The sequence below is a fragment of the Homo sapiens genome, chromosome 11 (genome assembly GCF_000001405.40).
Source record: "Homo sapiens chromosome 11, GRCh38.p14 Primary Assembly".
NCBI lineage: Eukaryota > Metazoa > Chordata > Mammalia > Primates > Hominidae > Homo > Homo sapiens.
In genome coordinates this window covers 110,021,383-110,043,939 of record NC_000011.10, presented here as the reverse complement: position 1 = coordinate 110,043,939, position 22,557 = coordinate 110,021,383, and the positions used below count along the sequence as shown (strand labels likewise).

General features: G+C 41.1%; 4 annotated features.

The window, feature by feature from the left end:
- Nucleotides 15,862-15,941: a silencer, noted in NCBI's record as "silent region_3882". NCBI's record gives its function as "represses an Ori minimal core promoter by ATAC-STARR-seq in GM12878 lymphoblastoid cells {active_cell/tissue: GM12878}" and the evidence as "EXISTENCE:reporter gene assay evidence [ECO:0000049][PMID:35858748]".
- Nucleotides 16,252-16,411: an enhancer, noted in NCBI's record as "active region_5497". NCBI's record gives its function as "activates an Ori minimal core promoter by ATAC-STARR-seq in GM12878 lymphoblastoid cells {active_cell/tissue: GM12878}" and the evidence as "EXISTENCE:reporter gene assay evidence [ECO:0000049][PMID:35858748]".
- Nucleotides 20,682-21,881: an enhancer, noted in NCBI's record as "P300/CBP strongly-dependent group 1 enhancer chr11:109892785-109893984 (GRCh37/hg19 assembly coordinates)". NCBI's record gives its function as "activates an origin of replication core promoter dependent on BRD2, BRD4, P300/CBP, MED14 and CDK7 cofactors, with strong dependence on P300/CBP, by STARR-seq in HCT116 cells {active_cell/tissue: HCT116}" and the evidence as "EXISTENCE:reporter gene assay evidence [ECO:0000049][PMID:35650434]".
- Nucleotides 21,213-21,272: an enhancer, noted in NCBI's record as "active region_5496". NCBI's record gives its function as "activates an Ori minimal core promoter by ATAC-STARR-seq in GM12878 lymphoblastoid cells {active_cell/tissue: GM12878}" and the evidence as "EXISTENCE:reporter gene assay evidence [ECO:0000049][PMID:35858748]".

Here is a 22,557-nt window from a genome sequence, read left to right as displayed (position 1 = left end):
CCTTTTCTTTCTTTCTTTCTCTTTCTTTCTTTCTTTCTTTTTCTTTCTTTCTTTCTTTCCTTCTTCCCTTCCTTCCTTCCTTCCTTCCTTCCTTCCTTCCTTCCTTTTTTTTCTTTCTTTCCTTCATATCTGTCGTCTAATCCATCAGAAAATCATGCAGCATCTTCGGTATGCTGTATATCCATAATCGGATTCCCTTCCTGCCCCTGCCAGAGCTACCGTCTGTTTCAAACCACCCTCATCTCTCACCTTTGGGAGGCTGTCATTGCCTCTTAAATAGTCCCTCTCTACCCCTATTGGTAGTCTCAATACTGCAGCTTAAAGTTTCCTTTTATTATCATTTTACTTTGAAATAAATGCAAAGTTACAGAAAAAGTTGCAAGTTCAATACAAATAACTCATGTTTCTGGAACCGTTTAAGCATAAATTGCTGACCCAATTCTCATCACTCCTCTCCTCCTGAATATTTTAGTGTATATTTCCTACAAACAAGGACATTGTCCTGTGTAACCACCATACAACACTGAAATCAGGAAACTAACAACGATGCATCTCCATTACTTAATCCTCAAACCACATTCAAGTTTCACCAATTTGGTCCCAATAATGCCTTTTATAACAACAGGATCAGTTCTACATCGTGGGTTGCACTTAGTTGTCATGTCTTTTTAGACCAATCTTTCCTTGACTCTTAAGACCTTGATACTTTTGAATATCACAGACCAGTTATTTTGTAAAATGTTTCCCAATGTGGATCTGTCTCACGTTTCCTCATAAATAGATCCAGACTATGCTTCAGTGGCAGAAACATTACATAAGTTAGCCATGTTTTTCTTGTTCTATCCTATAAGGTGGCACAAAACTTTAATTTGTTCTATTCCTGATGAGGTTCAATTTGATATCTTGGTTTCTGCCTATTTTCTCCACTATAAAGTTACTATTTTCTTCTTTGTAATTAATGAATATTTTGCATGAAGTTACTTGGAAACTATGTAACTATTTCATTTCTCATCATACATTAATTTATCCTTGTATTTATTTAAATTTGTATGGACTCAAGGTTTATTTTATTCCACTTTTCATTTAATGTTATCTAATGTTATTCATTTTATTATTTTATTCCTACTTTACTAATTGCTATCATTATTTTGATGTTTGAATGGATCTTAATTTGGCTAGAGGAAACCATTTAAAGCTGGCATCTGTGTCCTTTTGCCCTGTCCCCATCATTCTTTGAACACTTTCTGGCTTCTGGCACAGTGAGATGTTCCAGGCCCATCCTATACTTTCCCTGTCTGAGCCTTGGAATCAGGCATTTCTCCAAGGCATGCTGGTTCTTTTTCATTGCAACCCCTCCCCTACACAGACATCATTTCTCTCAGGGTTCTGATTATCTTCACCAGGTTGTTACTGCCTAGGATGATACCCTTTCCTTGCATGGGCTTTGACATCCCGTGCCAGGCTGACCCCACACAAAGATGCCTTCTCAAGCTGCTCAGGCAGAGTCCTTTGAACCAAAGTCAGATCATGTCACTTCTCTGGCTCAAAACCTCAGAATGGTTCCCATTAGTCCACACAATATGCTGCAAGCATATTGTGACCGGATCATACCCTCTTTGCCTTTCCCATCTCCTTCTCTACTCTCTCTCCTTGCCCCCACCAGCTCCCCTCCTGCCAGAGGACTTTTGCTCTTCCCCCTGTGAATGTTCTATCTCCAGAAAATGACTTAGCCAGCTGCTCCATGCCCTTAAGGTCTTTGTTGAAATCTCATATTTTCAGTGAGGCCTACCCTGACCTTACAATGTAATATTGTAAACTTCCCTTAACTTGGGTAAATGTTTTTTTCTTTCTGCAAAATGCATAAATGGACCTGTTTGGCAATGGGAGCTGATGCCCACAGGACATGGGCCTAAAAGGAAGAGCAGAACCAACAGAGATCTGAGCTGCTCTGTTCAAGAAAGAGAGGGGAGTTTAAAGTTTGCTTAGAGACCTCCCCAGGGAAGGGGTGAAGCCTCTGGGGGCAAGTAGCAGGATAAGATATAAACAGGATTCCAGAGGTGATCTGGGAACATTTAAGAACAAAGGTGTCTGGTGCTCCAGTTATTTGCTGGACATTGCAGCAATGCAGCTGTCTTCTAGGGGTGTACTTAGTGTTCGACTTGCAGATTCAGATTTTGGTAGGAAGAGCTCACTGAGGTGAAGGGAGCCAATGACAACATAGGCACCGCCTCCTGGGGAGGATACTGGCCATCTCACAGCATATGAAATGATGATGGTCACGCTGCTGAAACAAGCTGTTAAAGGGAAGATTGACTCCAGAAGGCTGGAGGCTTTAGGGACTCATAAGTATAGGTGATAACTCTGCAGGCAAGAGTCCACCTGAAGTCCATCTATCTGATCTTGTCCAAATGAATGTCTATTACACGCTTGGAGAGAGTTCACATTCAAAGAATTCCACCTGAAACTGCCAGATGTGGGAATGAAGATAGTCCTGGATTGTGATAGAGCCTTCTTCTCAAACTGGGAGTATATGCAGTGTGCTGAGCAGAGTAGAGAACCACAAGATCAAGTGTGATACACTTCCATATACCATGCATTTAAATATCATCATATATTAAAGCAGAGGTGCCATGGAATAGACTGCAACTTCAGAGGAATTTCGTATTTAGATTGTGCCCTCTGAGCCCTCATCACTCTCCTCATCACTGGAGTCATTATAGAATTTGAGAAGCACGAAGTAAGATTAAAAGACTGAAGCAAGGGTGTTTTCCCCATCACTCTTGACCTTGGGCAAGTCAGCTACTTATCAATTTTTAGGCTTATAAAATAAGGAGGTTGATGAGATGATTTTTAGTTAGGTTGATTTAGGAATGATCTCAGCCTTCCTTTCTCTTTCCGTCTCTCTCAACATCTCTTTTTCTGTCTGTTCTATGCTCCTCCCCTTACCATTTGCCTTCATCTGCATTTTTATATGCAAACTTTTCATTTTTCTTATAACTTTGGCCTTTACCTGGTCCACCATGATTGCCTCAACTTCCTCTACTTTATGACAGTTCTTAATTTTCAGTTTCTGCCTTTGCTGTCAATTGCTCCATCTGTCAGTTTCCATGAACTCTTTTACTAGAGAGGCATCTGATTGTCTCAGCTTATTCTTTTGAAACAGTTCACCCAGTTCATAGCTTGCTGGTGAGCTAAAAGATGAGGCACTCCAAGCTCAGGTGCCCACATTGATTCCATCAGTTACAGTCACGGAGAGACAGGCACTACGTTAGATATCGTTGCTGCCATCCCTTAGCAGGGCTGGGGGGAAGTCGTATTTCCTTAGAAGGGAATGTAATTGGCATGAATAATATTTTAAAAAGTCAAGTTTAATCCCAAACCTCTGACACATCAATTCTATGATAAATTAAGATATTGCATTCACACCTGGGTTCACTACTATTATCATTTTGATACTTAGGCCGTTATTTCCTGTATGTTAAGGTGATTTTTAATATTCATTTATGGAAATAAATCCTAGACAATGAATACAACATTACCTTAAGGTTGTTGAGCATTTTTGGCTCAGGAATGATACAAGTTAATTTCCTATCCATTGCTTTTCATTCAATTCAACAAATATATAACGAATGCCAATTCTGGACCAGGCATTGCTTTAAGGAATGTGGGTATAGTAGGGAACAAATCCTTGCCCATGTGGAGCTTACACTCTAGTAAAATCTAAACAAGTTCGTGCTTGGTTTTTTCTTGTTTTTAAAAATATTTTGATCATAGAGAATTATATAACGAGAACTCATATATATCTTACCCTGTTAGATTTCAAATTTTGCCACACTGGCTTCAAGTATTTATTTATTTATTTATTTAAAAGAAAAACACTGTATATAGTCTCAAAACTCTCCATGTATCTTCCAATCCCATTCCTTTTTCATTTCCCTTTCTCAGAGTGCTATGGTCTGAATAGTGTTTCCCCTGGAAAATTCATAGGTGGAAGCCTAACCACCAATGTGACTGTATTTGGAGATGAGGCCTCTAAGGAGGAAATTCAGGTTAAATGAGGTCATAAGAATGGGTCCCTAATCTCATACGGCTGGTTGTCCTATAAGAAGAGGAAGAAACACCAGAGCTCTCTTTGCCATGTGAGAATACAGTGAGAAGGTGACCGTCTGCAAGCCAGGGAGAGAGCCCTCACCAGGAACTGTATCAGCAGAAAGCTTGATCTTGAACTTTCCAGCTTCCAGAACTATAAGGAAATAAATTTGTGCTGCTTAAACCACCAAGTCTATACTATTTTCTTATGGCAGCCTGAGGAAACTAAGGCACCGAGGTCAGCCCTATTCTGAATTTGGTGTTTATCAACTCCAAGGAGGATTTATACTTTACTATATTTATGTAGAGCCGTGAACAGGAATATGTAGGTGTTTTTTTTTTTTGTAGTTAAAAAAAACTTTTATAATTAGTATCATGTTCTACATACATTGCATATTCTAAAAAGGTGGTCTATTTTCATCTCAGCTCCTTTAAAAATTTCATAAAAATTATCAATTTTCTCAAAGAAAAATGTACTATATTTTGTATATAACTTCAGGCTGTTCATAAACCATGGAGCTCTATCTGAGCCCCAGATGAAGAACATTTGCTCTGGTTATAGTTTCTTTTTTTTAGAATATTCATCCCACCATATTGCAAGGTCCCTAGTCATCTAGAACTAAGTCAATTATGTCTATTATTCCATACTTACTGAGACTGAGGAATGGACTCACATTTTAGAAAGGTTATTTATTTATTTATTTATTTGAGACAGAGTCTCACTATGTCACCCAGGCTGGAATACTGTGGCGTGATATCGGCTCACTGCAACCTCCGCCTCCCAGGTTTAAGCAATTCTCCTGCCTCAGCCTCCCAAGTAGCTGGGACTACAGGTGCCCACCATCACACCCAACTCATTTTTGTATTTTTAGTAGAGATGTGGTTTCACCATGTTGGCCAGGCTGGTCTTGAACTCCTGACCTCAGGTGATCTGCCTGCCTTGGCCTCCCAAAGTGCTGGGATTACAGGTGTGAGCCACCATGCCTGGCCAAGAAAGGTTACTTAGTAATAAAGATTGAGAATAAAAATGATTTTCTTTTGAGTTACCAGAAAAGTAAATTATCCACACACCCAATTTTTAAACTTTTCCGAATAATTGAGGTCTAGCAACAGAGTCACATAGTAGGAGTATCGGCTTGATGAGAAGTATATGTGAGTTAATAGAAAATACACTTTATTTGACATGGTAGGAAGTATTTTAGCTATTACAAATAAACAGAACTAAAAAAGTCATGTTCCTGTAATGCAGTGCCTTGATTGTTGTAATTTAATATCAAGTACTATCTTGTTTCCCTGTAAAATGTGAGGACACTTATGTACCTCCCTGAGAAATTGGAAAGCAAGGGATTAAAAAAAAAAACCCGGTGTGAAGTTTCTTGGATAGGATGCCCAGCATAAGGATATAATTGTTTTTTGGCATGCTGGTTGGTGCCTCTGCACTGCACTTTCCTTCCCTCGGTTGGTGACAGAATACTGTGAAAGACATTCAAGGCCAAGTGAACACTTACAAATGAATTACCACCTGCCATGAACACAGAAAGAAATATTGATGTTAAATAGAGCTATTTGAGAACTCAAGTAGGGGAAAAGACTGTGGAACCAATTGAGATCTGATGAGCCTCGCCAAACTGTAGAAAGACAAGGTTAAACTGTCCTGCAAAAAACAAAACAAAACAAAACAAAACAAGACAAACAGCAACAACAACAACAAAACCACAGGTCTGGAATGAAGTGGGATATTATCTGAGAGATTTACATCCTTCTTTTCTGTTGAAATCTAGCATTGCCTAACTTTATTAAGAAGCACAGGAAGCTATGGAAACACATTCTGAGATTAACTGTGGAGCAAATCTTGAAAGAAGATGAAAAATGTTTAACTATCATAAAGTTGAGGAATAGAAGTTAATATATATAAATTAAAAGGAGACAGAACGAGAAGAGCAAGAACAAAGATAATTTTTAGGTTTTTGTAATACAAAGGAAGTGAAATTACAGAGAAGGAGAGGGAGAGGAGACTGAGTTGTTAATACTTGCAGGGAGATGGGCATTTCTAATATTCTAATAGGTGATTGCTAGGTTGCACGCATGCACACACACACACACACACACACACACACACACACACACACACACACAGATTGAGCTTCCCTAATCTAAAAATCTGAAATTCACAATGCTCCAAAATCTAAAACCTTTTGAACACTGGCATGAGATAGTAACACCTTTGCTTTCTGATGTTTCAATGTACACAAACTTTGTTTCATGCACAAAATTATTTAAAATCTTGTATAAAACTACTTTCAGTCTACATGTATAAGGTATATATGAAACATGAGTGAATTTTGTGATTTGGGTTCCATCCCCAGGATTTCTTATTATATATATGCAAATATTCCAAAATCTAAAAAAATCCAAAACATGAAACACTACTGAAATGCATTTTGGATAAGGGATACTCAACCTCTATACATATATATTTTCCTCCTCTGATAGGATTTAGGAGAAGAGGTAATATTGATAGGATTTAGGAGGAGGGAGGGAGTGAAAAGAGGAAAACCACATCTTGACTGATTCCTCATAAGGCTGGTCTTCTCCTGAGACTGTTATACTAGTCAGGGTTCTCCAGAGAAAAGAACCAATAGGATGTGTACATACAGAGAAAGAGATTTATTTTAAAGAATTGGCTAATATGATTATGGAGGCTGGCAACTTCAAAATCTTCGGAGCTGATGTCCCAGTTGGAGTCTGAAGGCTGGTAGGTGGCAGGAAGATGTTCCAGTTTGAAGGCCATCAGGCAGGAAAATGCTCTTAGGAAGAGGGTCAGTTGTTCTACTCAGACCTTCAACTGATTGCATAAACCCCACCCACATTATGTAGGGCAATCTGCTTTACCCAGTCCACCGACTTAAATGTTAATCTCATCCAAAACCTCCCTCACAGAAATACCCAGAATCACGTTTGACCAAATCTCTAAGCCCCCTGTGGCCCAGGGAAGTGTGTCAGCATTAAATTAACTGTCACACTATGGTAGGTTGAAAAATGGCTTCCCAAGGAGATCCACCTCCTTATCTCTGGAACCTCTTAACTAACAGAGGGTGGGGGGTGGGGGGGAATGCCTTTTGCAGATGTGATTGAGCTAAATATTTTGAGATGAGGAGATGATCCTAAATTATCCCAGATTTGCCCTAAATGCAATCACAGGTGTTTTATAAGAGAGAGCCCAAAGGAGATTTGACACACCCAGAAGAGGCAATGTGACCACAGAGACAGAGACTGGATGGGCACAACCACAAGTCAAGGAATGCCAGCAAGCACCAGATGCTGGAATATCTCTGCTAGAACTTGGAGGAAGCATGGCCCTGCTGACACCTTTATTTCAATCCACTGAAACTGATTTCAGGCTTCCTGCCTCCAGAACTGTGAGAAGAGAAATTTTCTGTTGTTTTAAGCCTCCAAGTTTGTGTTAATTTGTTCCAGTGGCCATGGGAAACTAATACGGAGACCAAACAGAAAATCAGCCCAGATAATCACACAGCGAGGGTATCAAAGATTATACACAAGATAATTTTTGAATGAGGGTTTTGAGAGTCAGAATCCTGGTGGGCTCCCCTTCTATTAGCCTCTTTGACATCTGACTAGTGTAACCATGTGGGTTTCCCGCATGGAATAAGAAGTATATGAGAGGCCAGGTGCGGTGGCTTACACCTGTAATCCCAGCACTTTGGGTGGCTGAGGTGGGTGGATCACCTGAGGTCAGGAGTTCGAGACCAGCCTGGCCAATATGGTGAAACCCCATCTCTACTAAAAATACAAAAAATTAGCCAGGCGTGGTGGTATGCACCTGTAATCCCAGCTACTCAGGAGGCTGAGGCGGGAGAATCCCTTGAACCTGGGAGGCGGAGGTTGCAGTGAGCCAAGATCATGCCATTTTACTCCAGCTTGGGCAACAAGATGAAAACTCCATCTCAAAAAAAAAAAAAATATGAGAAAAGAATTAAGAATTTGTCCTGCCTTTTCAGTAGAATTGTATTTCAGAACAGTCAGGTAACCCAACTGATGAGGGAAAGCTCTTTTTTTTTTTTTTAATACAGGCAGAAATAATTACAGGGTTAGCATATCACTAATTTTCAACCCCTAATTTAAAAAATGGAGGCATGGATCAAGCAGAATCATCAGTGGTCACAAAACCCATTAGATCAGTGGTTGTGAAGGTTGGCTGCTCACTGCAATTACTGAGAAGCTTTGCAAACTATTGACACCTATATCCTACCACCAGAGAGTCTGATGAAATTGGTCTGAAATGGTTTCTGGGCATCAAGATATTCAGGAGCTCCCAGTGATTTCTAATGAGCGCCAGGTTACAAACCATTGCATGAGGCGAAAGGAATTGGTTATTTACATGCTGCCAAAATATCACTCCATAACCTCCTTTCTGAGCCTTGATTTTTCTAATCTATAAAATGATAATAATAATACCTATTTTAGAGTGAAATTGTTGTAAGGATGAAATAAGCTAATGAATGCAAAGTGCTTAGGGAAAAGATCTGGCACACAGGAGGCACTTCTGCTTTAGGCTCCAACCATCTTCCTGTCAAACTGCTGTTAACAGTAACCTTCTCCTGCCAATGGGATAGTCTGCCTCGTGCCCTCAGTATGTACACAGAAATACTGGCATATACGTTGTTATTTGATTTCTTCTCTCTGAGGGCTTCTCCAAAGTCTAAAACCCAAATTGCCTAGATGAGATGAGAGCAGTGTCTATGCATGAGATGTATCCTGTGATCTCCACCTCATCCCTGAGTTCTGTCCTCCTGCCAAGTTTGCACGCTCCCATTCAGACTGTATTTTCCTCCCATCCCTATAGGGACTCGTTCCACGTCAGCTTGTTTCATTAAACAATCATTTATTGAGCACTCATTAGCATTATTCTACACACTGGAGAAACAGTGCAATGAACACAATACTTGTACTCATGGATTTTATCCTCAGGGAAGTGACAGAGAGCAAACTCAAAAACAAATAAATATCTAGAGTAATTTTAGATAAGTCTTTTTTTTTTTTGGAGATAGAGTCTTGCTCTGTCACCCAGGGTGGAGTGCAGTGGTGCGATCCCGGCTCACTGCAACCTCCGCCTCCCGGGTTCAAGCGATTCTCCTGGCTCAGCCTCCTAAGTAGCTGGGATTACAGGTGCACACCACCACACCTGGCTAATTTTTGTATTTCACCATGTTGGCCAGGCTGGTCTTGAACTCCTGACCTCAGGTGATCCACCCGCCTCGGCCTCCCAAAGTGCTGGGATTACATGCATAAGCCACCATGCTGGCCAATTTTAGATAAATCTTGGGAGGAAAATAAAACACAGCCATTGGATAGAGAGTGATCTTTTTATTTTTGTAGAGGAGATATTCCAGCTGAAGAGAATAAAGAAATGGGAGTCACACACTTTTCAGGCGGAGGCAACAGCTGGTGCAGAGGCCAGGGCTAGAGTGAACTTGGGATGTTTGAAGGAGTGAAAGAAGGCCTGTGTGACTGGAGCTGTGTGGGGAGAGATGAGGTCAGAGAAGGAAGCAGGAGTTAGATCATGCAGGGCCATGGTAAGGAGTTGGATTTTATTCTACTGGAATGAAAAGCCACTGAAGAACTTTCACCCAGAGAGCAAATGCCCTGATTTTCACTTTAGAAAGATGGTTCTGACTACTGTGTGGGTAACGGCACATAGAGGGACAACAGTGGAGTTGGGCCTACTAGTGGGAGGTCATCATAGTAGTTTACGAGAGATAATGGTCATTTGGGTTAGAGTTATAGCAATGGAGATAGTAGGGACTGGCAGGATGTGTGCAATATGTTAGAGTTGAACAGCAGAACTTCCTAACTAAATGTGGATGTAAGGGAACAAGAAGAATCAAGAATGGGCTGGGCACAGTGGCTCAGGCCTGTAATCCCAGCACTTTGGGGGGCCAAGGTGGGTGGACCACTTGGGGTCAGGACTTTGAGAGCAGGCTGGCCAATATGGCGAAAACTTGTCTCTATTAAAAATACAAAAATTAGCCAGGTGTGGTGCCTGTAACATGCCTGTAATCTCAGCTACTTGGGAGGCTGAGGCAGGAGAATCACTTGAACACGGGAGGTGGAAGTTGCAGTGAGCTCAGATGGCGCCGCTGCACTCCAGCCTGGGTGACAGAGACTCTGTCTCGAAAAAAAAAAAAAAAAAAAATGGAATTAAGAATGACTCCTAGATTCTCAGGCTAAGCAACTGGTAACTTGCGGTGTCATTTAATTATATGAGAAAGACTTTAAGAGGAGTGGGTTTTGGAGAAGAAAAAAATAATTTTGATTTGGTCATGTTAAGTTGAAAATGCTTATGTCATGACCAATTGGAAAGATCAAGTAAACAATAGGTGTGCAAGTCTGGAACTCAGAGAGATCCTGGCTTGAGTCATACATTTAAGAATCATTGGCCTATTAGACAGTATTAAAGCCATGGGAAAGAATTTGGATGGGGAAGAGACCTGGGGCAGCCCAACAGGTAGAGTGACATGTGTCACAATCGTGGCCTGGAACCCTCTGCACCTCCTGGGCTTGCTCTCTAATGCTACCCACATTCTTGGCCCACATCAAAGCAGGGGCTCTCTCTATTTGTCCCAGTCAACACTGATTTTGTCTTTATCTCAATTCCAGCTGCTCTTCCAATCTGTCTCCCTCACTGTGGCATTTAATCACACATGGAGCTTTGCTTGGGGACTTTATCTCTTTGGTGTGCATTAGTCTTGTCTCCACAGCTAGCTTGCTGCCTTCAGGAGGGCAGTGAACATGCTTAATAAATCTCTGTACCACCTTCAAAATCTAACAGAGAACTATAAAGTGCTCAGAAACACATGCTGATTGATAGGGTAATGCAGTTTGGGAAATGCCCCATGAGACCATGTTGCCAAACTGTGTTTGTGACCCCCATATCTGGCATGCCCCCTTTCATGGTGGTGCCACCTAGGCAGGCATAAAGCATTGTCTCCACTATGGGAGATGAAATAAGCACCAGAAAACCTCCCAGCAAGTCAGGTGGGCAAAGCAAAGCACAAAGAAGTGAAATTACTTCCTTGGTAAATAGATGCATACAAGGAAACAGGAACAAAACACCACAGCACAAACAAAATCCAATCTCCATTAGAAGGGAAAAGGTCTTCAGCACTCACTCCCAGAGGCTGAGCATAAGATCTATTTGTTGAATGAGGCAAGCCAATTTGAACACTAAATAGAGCCAGCCTCCACTGCGTTTGTAGAACACTGATATTTCTGAAAAGTATGTGGCTGAGTGTGCTGTCTGTGCTTTTCTTTCTTGCTTGAATATTGTAAGTTGCCTGCTGCTTAAATAGCTGTTGGATCGTCATTAGCTGTGGCCAGAATGCCAACTCCTTACAGCCTTCTCAAAGGCTGTCCAGAGTCCGATCAGCAGCACAAAAAGACAAAGAAGCTCTCAGGCATGGAGGACAGAGAGGGAGGAAAATGGAAGGGAAGCCGTGCATTGAATCCAGAGAACAAAAACAGAAACCCATAGCAGCAGATGTCAGTGAAGAAGAATACGAAAATGCTGATGAATGGAATGGAGCTGAAACTATCAGAAACAAAGAAAAGATAAGAATATTGTAAAAGGAACAGAAAGGCACAAAATAGAGCACGAATCAAAGACGAGAGAATGAATGGAAAAGTAAGAAAAAAACAGGTGAAGTGCAGGTTAGTGGGAAAATTATACACAAAAGTGGAAAAAATAATAACTCTTTTAAGGGTATACTTTGCAATACATCAGGGCCTTTGGAATACTTGACCAAGAATGTTGAATAATAATGTCTTTACAGAATTAGACTTAAAACATTATTAAGTAACTTTAGTGGTGTAGCACATGGTTGAACTTATTTGAAAAATCAGAAAAATTAAAACACAGTTTGTGTAATTCATGAAAGCCACAAGGAAGGAGTTGTTTTCTGTTACTGTAATTAATACATTCTTAACAACGTGTAGGTGCTTAGGGCAAGTGAGTTGTCATTGATAGTTCTACTAGCAATGAGACAGAGCTATAGACCATGTGGTGTACAAAAACTAATGTGAATACCAACATTCAGGAAGGAAAGAAGTAGTTTCTTTCTGAGGCCTGTATTACAGGAAGAATTTTTAAAAAATTTATCATAGTCACATTCACAACATTGTAGCATTTAAAGTTGGAAAGTCTCTTATGAACATTGTTTGTTCATTCTCTGGCTCTAAAAGCAAATCCTAAGATCTAACATAGTTGGAAGATTTGACAATGATCAAAACAGGTTTATAAAAGCTAAAATACCTTGCTACTATCGCTGAGAGTCCAGCCAATTTTGAGTGACAGATGAACACCCATGTATCCAGTCTGCCTAGTGTCATCAATCCAGACAGCAGCAAGGTCCTTGTAAGTCCCACTCATAGACCCTTTAGGTTGCTGTGGGTGAGAGGGGAAGTCCTTTTGATGTTTTCCTGGTGAATCACCTGAAGGAGGGTGGGGAAAAGATGGGATCATTGGCCACAAACTAAACGGTTGTCTTGTTTCACCCAAATATTACTTTTGGTCCCTGTTGGCATGACTGAAATTAAGAAAGGTATCATGAAAAATCTTTGATTTGAGATTTAGGATAGTTAGCAGCAGTGTCTGCCCACCCTCTCACTCTAATAAGCTAAGTGTGCTTGTTCAGTGGCCAAGTTTAGACCCCATAGTACACTGATCTACAGTCTGCCTCTAAGGCTCCTGGGAACTCTTATTAGGTTTTCATATCAGGTTCAGTGTAGACTCTGGGTAAGGTTACCCTAAAATATGGAGAACATGAGCCATGGCTTTGGGCTTTTTTAGGAAGCTCCAAGGGTCCTGGGGAGGGGGGAGTTGGTACTTTGTGAGTGACTCATAATCCTGGAAAAAAAGTCACTCCTTGGTAGCTCTGGATCAGGTTTTGGCTCAGAACAATGAAAGAACCTAGAACGGGACTTCAACAAATGTGGGGTTCCCAGCAGCTCCTCAGCAGTGTTGACCATTCCCATGGCCATTTGCTAGGGGAGATGATTGGGGTAGGGAAGTTTACATATTTCCTTCTTAGAATTTGGGAATCAGAGCACCCATAACAGAGGAAATAATATAAGTAAATGCGAGACCCCAACAGAAGGCCTGTGTGGCACGCTTCCACCTTTTGGTCAGAGACTGGCGCACTAAACTACAGAGAGGTTAAGGATCTTGCTCAAGTTTGCAGCTAATCAGAGGGGAAGCCTTACTCTCTTCTCTCCATGAAACTTCATTCCTTCTGTACAACCCAAACTATTTTATGCCCTCACAGGACAAAAAGGGATCCACAAGAGAATGCCCCTAAATCCCACCCTTGACCCTTGGCAGGTGGCCCGTCTCTATTGCACTTTACTTAACAACTTGTCTTTTCAGAAGTGGCCTCTACTCCTTCTCCCAGGGTGTGAGGCAGTGAATGGGGCGCTTTCTCTAGAGACTGAGCAGCCCAGCAAGGCTTTTTATCAGAGTGCAGGGAAGTTGTGTTTGAAACGACACTACACTTGTCTTAATAGGCACGACCCTTTCTCCTGGGACACATTTTTCACTGTCATGTCTGCCTAGTAGCCTGAATTAAGAAAGTGATTCATTTGAGTTTCTCACATTCTCTCTTTCATGACTAGAAGAACCTGTGGGTCATTTATAGTTTGGATTGGGCCCCTCTCATCCTTTATTTATAAAAAAGCATGAACACGCTCCCTGTTCACAGGGAGGCCTGGTTCGCTTTCACCCCATTTCCTTTTGTTCACAAGGTCAGTATTTTTGTCTTTTCTCCTCGCATAGATTATTTTTTACACATCCAGTGGAAAGGAAGCTCAAAGATGACCTTTAAGGGCCCTCATAACTTTATGGCTTATTAAAGCCCATGCAGCTTTGTCCTTTGTCTGGGCCACCTCTCATGTGGTCCAGAGTGTTTTTCTCTGAAGAGTACAATGACAGGAAGTGGATTTTGGCTCACTCTAAAGACAAGTCAATAGCAGTTATAGATGCCCGAAAAATAAATGAGTTGTCTCCAGAATTAGTGAGCTTCTCAGCCTTCGAGGTGTATAATGAACACGCAATGGACAGTGGCCATGTGTGAGAGATGATATCATATGGGGTTCTCACATCAGATTAGGGGGTCGCTCAACAATAGCAAACATTTGAGTATTTTTTTATGCTAGAGATAAGGAAAGCAAAGATTAGTGAAGCAGTCTAGCAGGGTTAGCTTAGAAGGTCCCTCAAGTCCCTTTCAACTTCACGCTGTATCTAGATGCATTAAGATACCACCTGAGAAAATTCTTCGATGCAGCTTGTTTCTTAGAGTTGTTTACCTGGAGTGATCTTTAGAGATAATTTTTCTGAAGCTTTAAAAAAATAGAAAAAAGAAAATAGGTTCCAAAAGGTGAATTTTTTTTTTTCCAAGAACACACAGCTAGTCATATTGTTGGTTTAAAAAATATATACGTTCCATGGATTGCAGAGTAGGAAGAACATTTTTGGCATGAGAGTGTTCTAAATTTCCCTTTTGACCGTGGTGGAAATTCCTACTTCTGTAGTTGCTATTATAGGTGCAGTTTAGGAAAGGGCCTAATTTTTCTCCTCTGTGTAACACTCTGATTCATGTGACAGGGGAAGAAAGGGGTGGTGTGGGATGGGTTTCTGTTAAGACCTCAGATGCATCACCTAAGAGCAAGTAGTATAGCAACAAGCAGGAAAGCACTCAGTTGTTTCCATGGTATGACTTAAGGGGCTGCCATGGTTACAACTCCATCTATCAACGCCACTCATCTTCTCATAGGAAGAGTTTCATGGCTTTCAGCCCTAAAGGTATTTTTAGTCTTAGAGAAGTCCCTATTTAAACACCATGGTTAATGTAGCTAACTCTATCAGTTGATACTGCAGTCATCAGCACTTTGAATATCTTTTGTGTGCCCAGCCCATAATGACTTCATTTAATTAACTAGCTGATAGATAACTGAGAGAAAGGCTTTGCAGGGAATGGGATGCCAACTACATGACTTGAGGTTGGGTACCAGGATAATTAGGAGGATGAGCTTTGAATTCAGGTAACACTGGGTTCTCATATCAGTGCTGCCATTTATTAGTACTATGACCTTGGGAAAGTTAGTACATGAGCCCAAGTTTGCTTATCGTAAAATAGGAATAATAATAATATCCCTTAGGGTTATTTTGAGAGTTGGTGGTACCAGGCACATACCATAAATGTTAATTATTTCTGCTATAACACCAGAATTGAAGAAAGGGACTGGAATAAGGGAGAGAGAAGACACAAAAGAAAACATGCCTACAGAACACATTTGTCCAAAGTCCACTTTACCCAGGTCATCTTATCTCCCAAGGGAAAATTGGGTCTCAGAAAGAAGGCCAGGGAAACAGCCCTGCAAACTCCATGGTAAAGGTCTTCCCTCGGAGGGAGTATGTGCTGTTTAACATTCAACATGTGCCATGTGAAACCTCCTCCTGGTCTCATTTTTCCTCCTTACCTCAACCTTCCTGCACTCCACACTTCAGCCTTTTGGGATTTCTAATCTTCAGATAATGACACATGTCATTCTTCTGCTTGGGAAACATTCTTGGCTGATTACTTCTAACTTGAACGTTGGATCTCAGCTTTGATGTAACTACCTCTGGGAAGCCCCCCTGCCCCACTAGACTGAGCTGAGTGCCCCTCCTGTGTGTTTCCCCACATCATCTGCCTGAGAACTCATACCACTCATTATGATTTCTTGTTCATGCCTGTCTTCCCCACTAGGTTGTGGTCAGTGAAAGCAGAGACCACATCTGGTTTACTCTCCATAATATCCCCTAATCACCATCTAGCGTAAATGGCAATGAAGAGGAATTCAAGAAATACTAAATAAGCGAGTGAATGAATGAGTTTTATGCTGAGATTTAGGTGAGGGTAAGTTGCTTTGGATTTATGCTAGCATTTCTACTCTGATCTGAAAAGATCCTTGTTAAGACAATATTATTATTATTCCTCTTTTCCTTGTAGAAACTGTCTACAGATTATTTACACCTCAAAACATGAAGGGCTTTCCGTGTAGTTAAAGACAATGTAGGTAGGGGCCATTTCTGCTTACCAAACTTATGGTTTGACCAGGATCTTGGTGCTTTATCAGATAAAGAAGAATGTGTATATGATAACACTTGTTGGTATAGGTGTCTTCCAAATCATGTTGAAAAATACAGCATTAAAGCTCTGTGAAAGGAAAACTAATTTGAGTTCCTTCTCAGCTGGAACCTATTTGTACTATTTTGGGTACAAAAGACTCTCAATTACTTTCCCCTTCATTGGGACTTTTCTGATTTAGCATGTGACCTCCTCTCAATTGGTGGTTAAACATGGGTGACCATGCATTCATCATTTAAACCAAAGCACTTCTGAGTTCCAGCCCGTGACTTGAGCCTGAGAACAGTTCCTCTTTGTGTTATGTGTTCAACAAATGAAAGGGGAATCACAAGCCCTACTTCCTCTAGAACAGAGGATTGGAAGGGTGAGCTTACTAATATGTAGTTTACATTACACGTTGGGGTTGAAAACCTCAGTCCAGTTGCTATGCAATTGGGCTTTGGAATGGAAGAAAGCAACATGTGGAGGTGTCCATTTTATTTTTCCATGGAAAAATAATTCATTTTGAAATGGTTTCAAGCTTAAACAGAACATTTGCAAGTACAAAGATCTCCCAGGCTCCTCTCATCCAGTTCCTCAACTGTTAATATTTCACTGCATTCCCCTCCCCCTTTCTCTGTTGTATAATTTATAAAGAGGAGGGGAAAGTCCACTCTTGTTCCTAATACCATGGGTGCAGTATCAGCAGGAGGACTTGGCAAACAACCCAACAAGAAGGGCTGGAAATTGGAGAACAAAAGTATTTTCATAGGCAAATTCCATATGCTGGGCATTGTGCTAGTTCCTTTGCAAGCATTACTTCTTTAAGTCCCTGGAAGAATCCATTGAAGATTATGATCATTCGCACTCTACAGATGAGACAACTGGTGCTCAAAGGGATTAGAAACTTGCCCAAGGTCACAAGGCCAGAAAAGTGATGCACTTGTGTGTACCATTTTAAAGCTTCTCTTTCCATGACAGCTTGCCTTGTCACTGTAAAAAGAACATTCAATTGGGAATAAAAGGGTCCAGCCCAGTTCTAAATCCATGTTATCTTCAGCAAGCAACTTACGTTTATAGAGATTCAGTTCTTTCAACTGTAGAATGAGGGAGGCTGCACTAAATTAGCCTTAAGATTTCTTCCAGCTCAAAACTGAATAATTTAATAAGTGCCATATTTTTGCCAGGCTCACTGACAAAAGTACATTGAATATATTAGTGTCTACTGTAGGAATAGGAGACATAGAGCTTAGGACTTAGAGCTTATTTAATTCAGCAGCGAACTAGTTAATTTCTTCTATCTGTTGGGTTGTCCATTTGGATAGACATTTAAATGGTTGTCTATTTAAAGCATCTACCTGTCCTTGACCTTTTGCTACCTTTTGCCCTACCCTATAGCAGTTGAGTGTTCACTCCTCACATCCTAGGAGTTGGGATAATTCTGAGGGATAGAGGTGCCTCTGCTGGGGAAATTGAAGGAGTAGACTTAAATCCAATTGATTTTGAAATCATCCTTGGTTTGAAATCATCCTTGGGAACCTAGTAGTCACTCTGTGTACAAGTTTCTATCTTCAAAGAGTTCTATATTATTCGAAGAGTACTATATTAAAAACACCCTCTTCCTAAATATTTGGCTGTCATTCAGGAACTGGAGTATGTATACCCACAGAGTTATGCAATGGTGCTTCAAGAGGCCCCCTCAAACAAGTTATATGATAAATACAGCTCTTGAAGGGCAGGTCCCAGAGTTTCAAAAAATTTTATGTAAATATAAATGTATATTTATATATTACAAAATATGATATATAATAAAAAATATATATACATATATATTTGTATTTATTTATGGAATGCCATGGCACAATCATGGTTCACTGAAGCCTCAAACTCCTGGGCTCAAGTGATCCTCCCACCTCAGCTTCCTTAGTAGCTGGGACTACAGGTGCATGCCACCACCCCTGACTATAATCAGGGGTCATGTTTACACCTCCTCAAGGGTCGGAAATGATACTCAATGCCTGTAATCCCAGAACTTTGAGAGGCTGAGGCCGGAGGATTGCTTAAAGCCAGGAGTTTGAGACCAGCTTGGGGAACAAAGCAAGAAACTGTCTCAAAACACAAAAAAATTAAAAAATTAGCCAGGTGTGGTGGTATGCGCCACCCGCCCTCCCAGCTACTCAGGAAGCTGAGGTGGGAAAATTGCTTGAGGCCAGAAGTTTGAGGCTTCAGCAAATCATGATTGTGCCACTGCACTCAAGCCTGGGCAACAGAGCGAGACCCTATCTATATTTTTTAAGAATCTATATCTATATCCTATCTATATCTGTCTATCTCAAAAGGCAGATAAATATAAAAACTAAAATAAACACTACTGTCTTATGAAGCAGAATTTAAAAGTGTCATGATTTTTTAATGTAAAATCTAAGAACTCCCAACAATCTTACTGTTGCCATGAATTCTTTTGTCTCCAGGGATCTGGAAGTAATAATTCTTTTTCTTCTGTCATTAAGGATCCTAGAGTGAGAAGGTTTGAGAGGCAGTGATATTTTAAAAGTATGACATAGTGCCTAGTATTATGTGTTCAAAATAAAGCCATTATTGTTGCCATTGTCATATCTAGCTCAATTCTCTTTTGATACAATTTGCTAACACTGCCTCTTAGTTTTCCCATATTGTTTTATTTCTTTCCAACAGGAATCAATTCAGCATTTGATACCCAGTGAAGACAGAGCCAACCCTCTCTCATTTTTTTTCTGAATCTGTCCATTGGTTCTGAATCCCATAGGTTCCAAATCAACAATTTGGGAAGATGGTAACTCTAAGGTCATCAAAACACGACAAACATGTGACAGCAGCTAATCTGTACTTTCTATGCCTTCTGAGACTTTTTCCTTCTGATTACATATTCTTAGTTTCTTAAGCTCTTCTTTAGATATTATGATGTTTAGATTCTCTCACCGTACTGGTCCCGTCTTCAAAAGTTACTCTGGTTTATCTATATCTCTTTCAAAGAACTGATTCAATAGTACTAAGAAAGTTTTTATTCCAGTTGTATGCCTTCTGTCAAAGGCTGATTAGCCTTGAGAGGGGCAGATAGAGAGAGGCACATGGAGAAATCATATGCATCTTACTGAATTTGCTTACTAGTAATAATTGGGAGGCCAGGCATGGTGGCTCACCCCTGTAATCCCAGCACTTTGGGAGGCTGAGGTGGGCAGATCACCTGAGGTCAGGAGTTCAAGACCAGCCTGGCCAACATTGTGAAACCCAGTCTCTACTAAAAATACAAAAATTAGCCAGATGTGGTGGCACACGCCTGTAGTCCCAGCTACGTGGAAGGCTAAGGCAGAAGAATCGCTTGAACCCAGGAGGTGGAGGTTGCAATGAGCTGAGATTACGACACTGCACTCCAGCCTGGGTGACAGAGCAAGACTCCATCTCAAAAAAAAAAAAAAAAATTGGGAAATGTAACCTAAACTATTAAATAGCTGAAGTTATTTGGCTGTCCAACAGTCATTTTTCCTCCCTCCTCCCTTCCTCCCTCTCTCCCTCCCTCCCCATCTCCTTCCCTCCCTCCCCACTTCCCTCCCCACTTCCCTCCCCACTTCCCTCCCTTCCTTCCTTCCTTCCTTCCTTCCTTCCTTCCTTCCTTCCTTCCTTCCTTCCTTCCTTCTTATCTGACTTCCTTTTAAGGAATTTTCTCTTTCCCACTGGGTATCATCAGTTGGGACTATAATCAGGGGTCCTGTTTACTCCTCCCCAGTGGTTGGAAATGATACAAGCTAAGCCAATCTGCTGTTCCCTCCTTGGAATTCAAATATTGAGCAGAAGAACAATGATGTTGACAATAATTGGATTCCCATCCCATCCTAGCAGGGCTCCTTGATCATACTGTTCTTGCTACAAGCCATTGTTGTTGTTCCTGGTTCTAGCCTTTCATTGCCTCTGTGAACCTCACATCCTTCTGATACATTTATTTTAAGATAGTTAAAGAGTGCTATCTATTGCTTACAAACAAATAGCCCTAACTAATGCAACTATTGTACATAGTGGTGTGCTTATCTACTGTATAAATACTTCTACAGTATATCTGCCTAATGGCTTCTACAATACTTATTCGTACAAGTTAAAAAAATTATAAGCAATCTCCTGCCTTTTGACTTGACCATAATGTGCCATCTGTCTTTATTTCTAGGAGGCTAAATCCATGTAGAGAAACCTGGACTTGTTTTCATCTTTCTCTCCTTCCTACCATATGATTTTATAATTTTTACTGAGGAAGTCAATTAAGAAAGCATCTAGTTTTGCCTGAACATAAAAGATTAGTGAAAATCCCACTTGTCTGCCTTTTATTTTTTACTTGTTTTGAGATGGGGTGTCACTCTGTCCCCCAGGCTGGAGTGCAGCGGTGCGATCACAGCTCACTGCAGCCTTGACCTCCCCAGGCTCAGGTGATCCTCCCACCTCAGTTTGTATTTTTAGTAGAGATGGGGTTTCACCATGTTGTCCAGGCTGGTCTCGAACTCCTGAGCTCAAACGATCCACCTGCCTCAGCCTCTCAAAGTGCTAGAATTACAGGCGTGAGCCACCACACTGGGCTTTGTCTGCCTTTTAAATGGGAAGAAGTCAGCTCAGTCATGGAGTCGCATGGGGCATGAGGCTTTATATTCTCTTCCAGGTAAAACTGGGGGAGTAGGAAGCATTTGCATCTGCCAAAATGTCAGTATTATACAATTAAGTCAGATTTCATCCTCTTACTGTGTTGAAAATGACAAAAGGAAAGCAGGTATTCTAGCATAAGATTAATATCAGTACCTGAGTGAAGATGAAGACTTCGTCAGCAGAGTGGCAAAGCAATGTGACACAAAAGGTTTAATGCTACAGTGAGGCAGCTAGTGTCTTGCTTGCCCTTGACTAAGCAATTCTCTCTGACATGTCTGGACTTATCTCCTGCAGCTCAGATTTTTGTTACTGAAGTTTCATATTCTTTTCTTACTGGTGAGATCTCAGCCAGATACTTGACTGGGAATACCAGATACTTCCTCTGAGAAGTAGATGCTGAGAAGAGATGGCAGTGCAAGAAGTTTCTTGGAGGAGGGGGTGACATCTGTGAAAGCAAAAATGGCAAGGAAGCATTATTGAACAGGAGAAGCCTTCAGACTGCAATGCTGATCTGTCTCCTGTGGAAGGAAAGGGGAGATGGAGCAGGATCACGTGGGGAGAGCCTGGGGCCGCTGTGCCCCTCTGATGGTCTCTGCCAAGCCAACAAGGAGCTCCAGAGTGAAGACTCCTGTTAGAGATGTCCTGCTTTTAGCAGGCTTCCTCATATAATCATTGGTGGGAAACTGACCAAGAAGAACATGGCCTCAGTTCAAAATTTGCAGATTCTGAAGGCACAGATAAAGGCTGAAGCTGTTGAACTCCTTGCAGCTGAATGGAGACCCAAGCAGCATACTCTCTTGGCTGCCACTTTGTCCTTCTGAATTGCATCTTAAATTTATTCATGGCCTAATTGCTCAGTGCATAGACTCTGGAGCTAGACAGAATCCCAGTCTGAATCCCAGCTCCAACACTTGCTCACTGTGTGACCTTAGAAAATCTAGTAAACCTATGTGCTTCATACTCCTCCTCTTTAAAGTGGAGACAAAATCAGTTATAACCTTATAGAATTACTGTAGAGCACTTAGAAAAATGCTTGACACAAGGTTTATGCAAAATATGTATTTGCTATTATTATTTATCCATTAAATGTTCACTATGTGTCAATCCCCCTTGACCTGTCTTGTAGGAACATTTGGACTGCCCACTTAGAATTAGCTCAGTTATCTGTGAAGCAACAATTAACAACCTACTTTTTATTGAAAGTATATCTTTTTTATTTATTTTTTGAGACAGAGTCCTACTCTCCCGCCCAGGTTGGAGTGCAGTGGCGTGATCGTGGCTCATTGCAACTTCTGCCACCTGGGTTCAAGCAGTTCTCGTGCCTCAGCTTCCTGACATAGCTAGGATTACAGGCATGCACCACCAGGCCCAGCTAATTTTCATAATTTTAGCAGAGATGGGGTTTCGCCATATTGGCCAGGCTGGTCTCAAACTCCTGGCCTCAAACAATCTGCCCACCTCAGCCTCCCAAAATGCTGGGATTACAGGCATGAGCCACCACACTCGGCCTATTGAAAGTATGTCTGAAAGAACGAGAGACACCAGCAAATGCCCTGATTACTAATCAGTATCAGTGCCGTGATCAAGGTCTCAAGTTATGTCTTGCATACAGACTTTGTTATTTCTG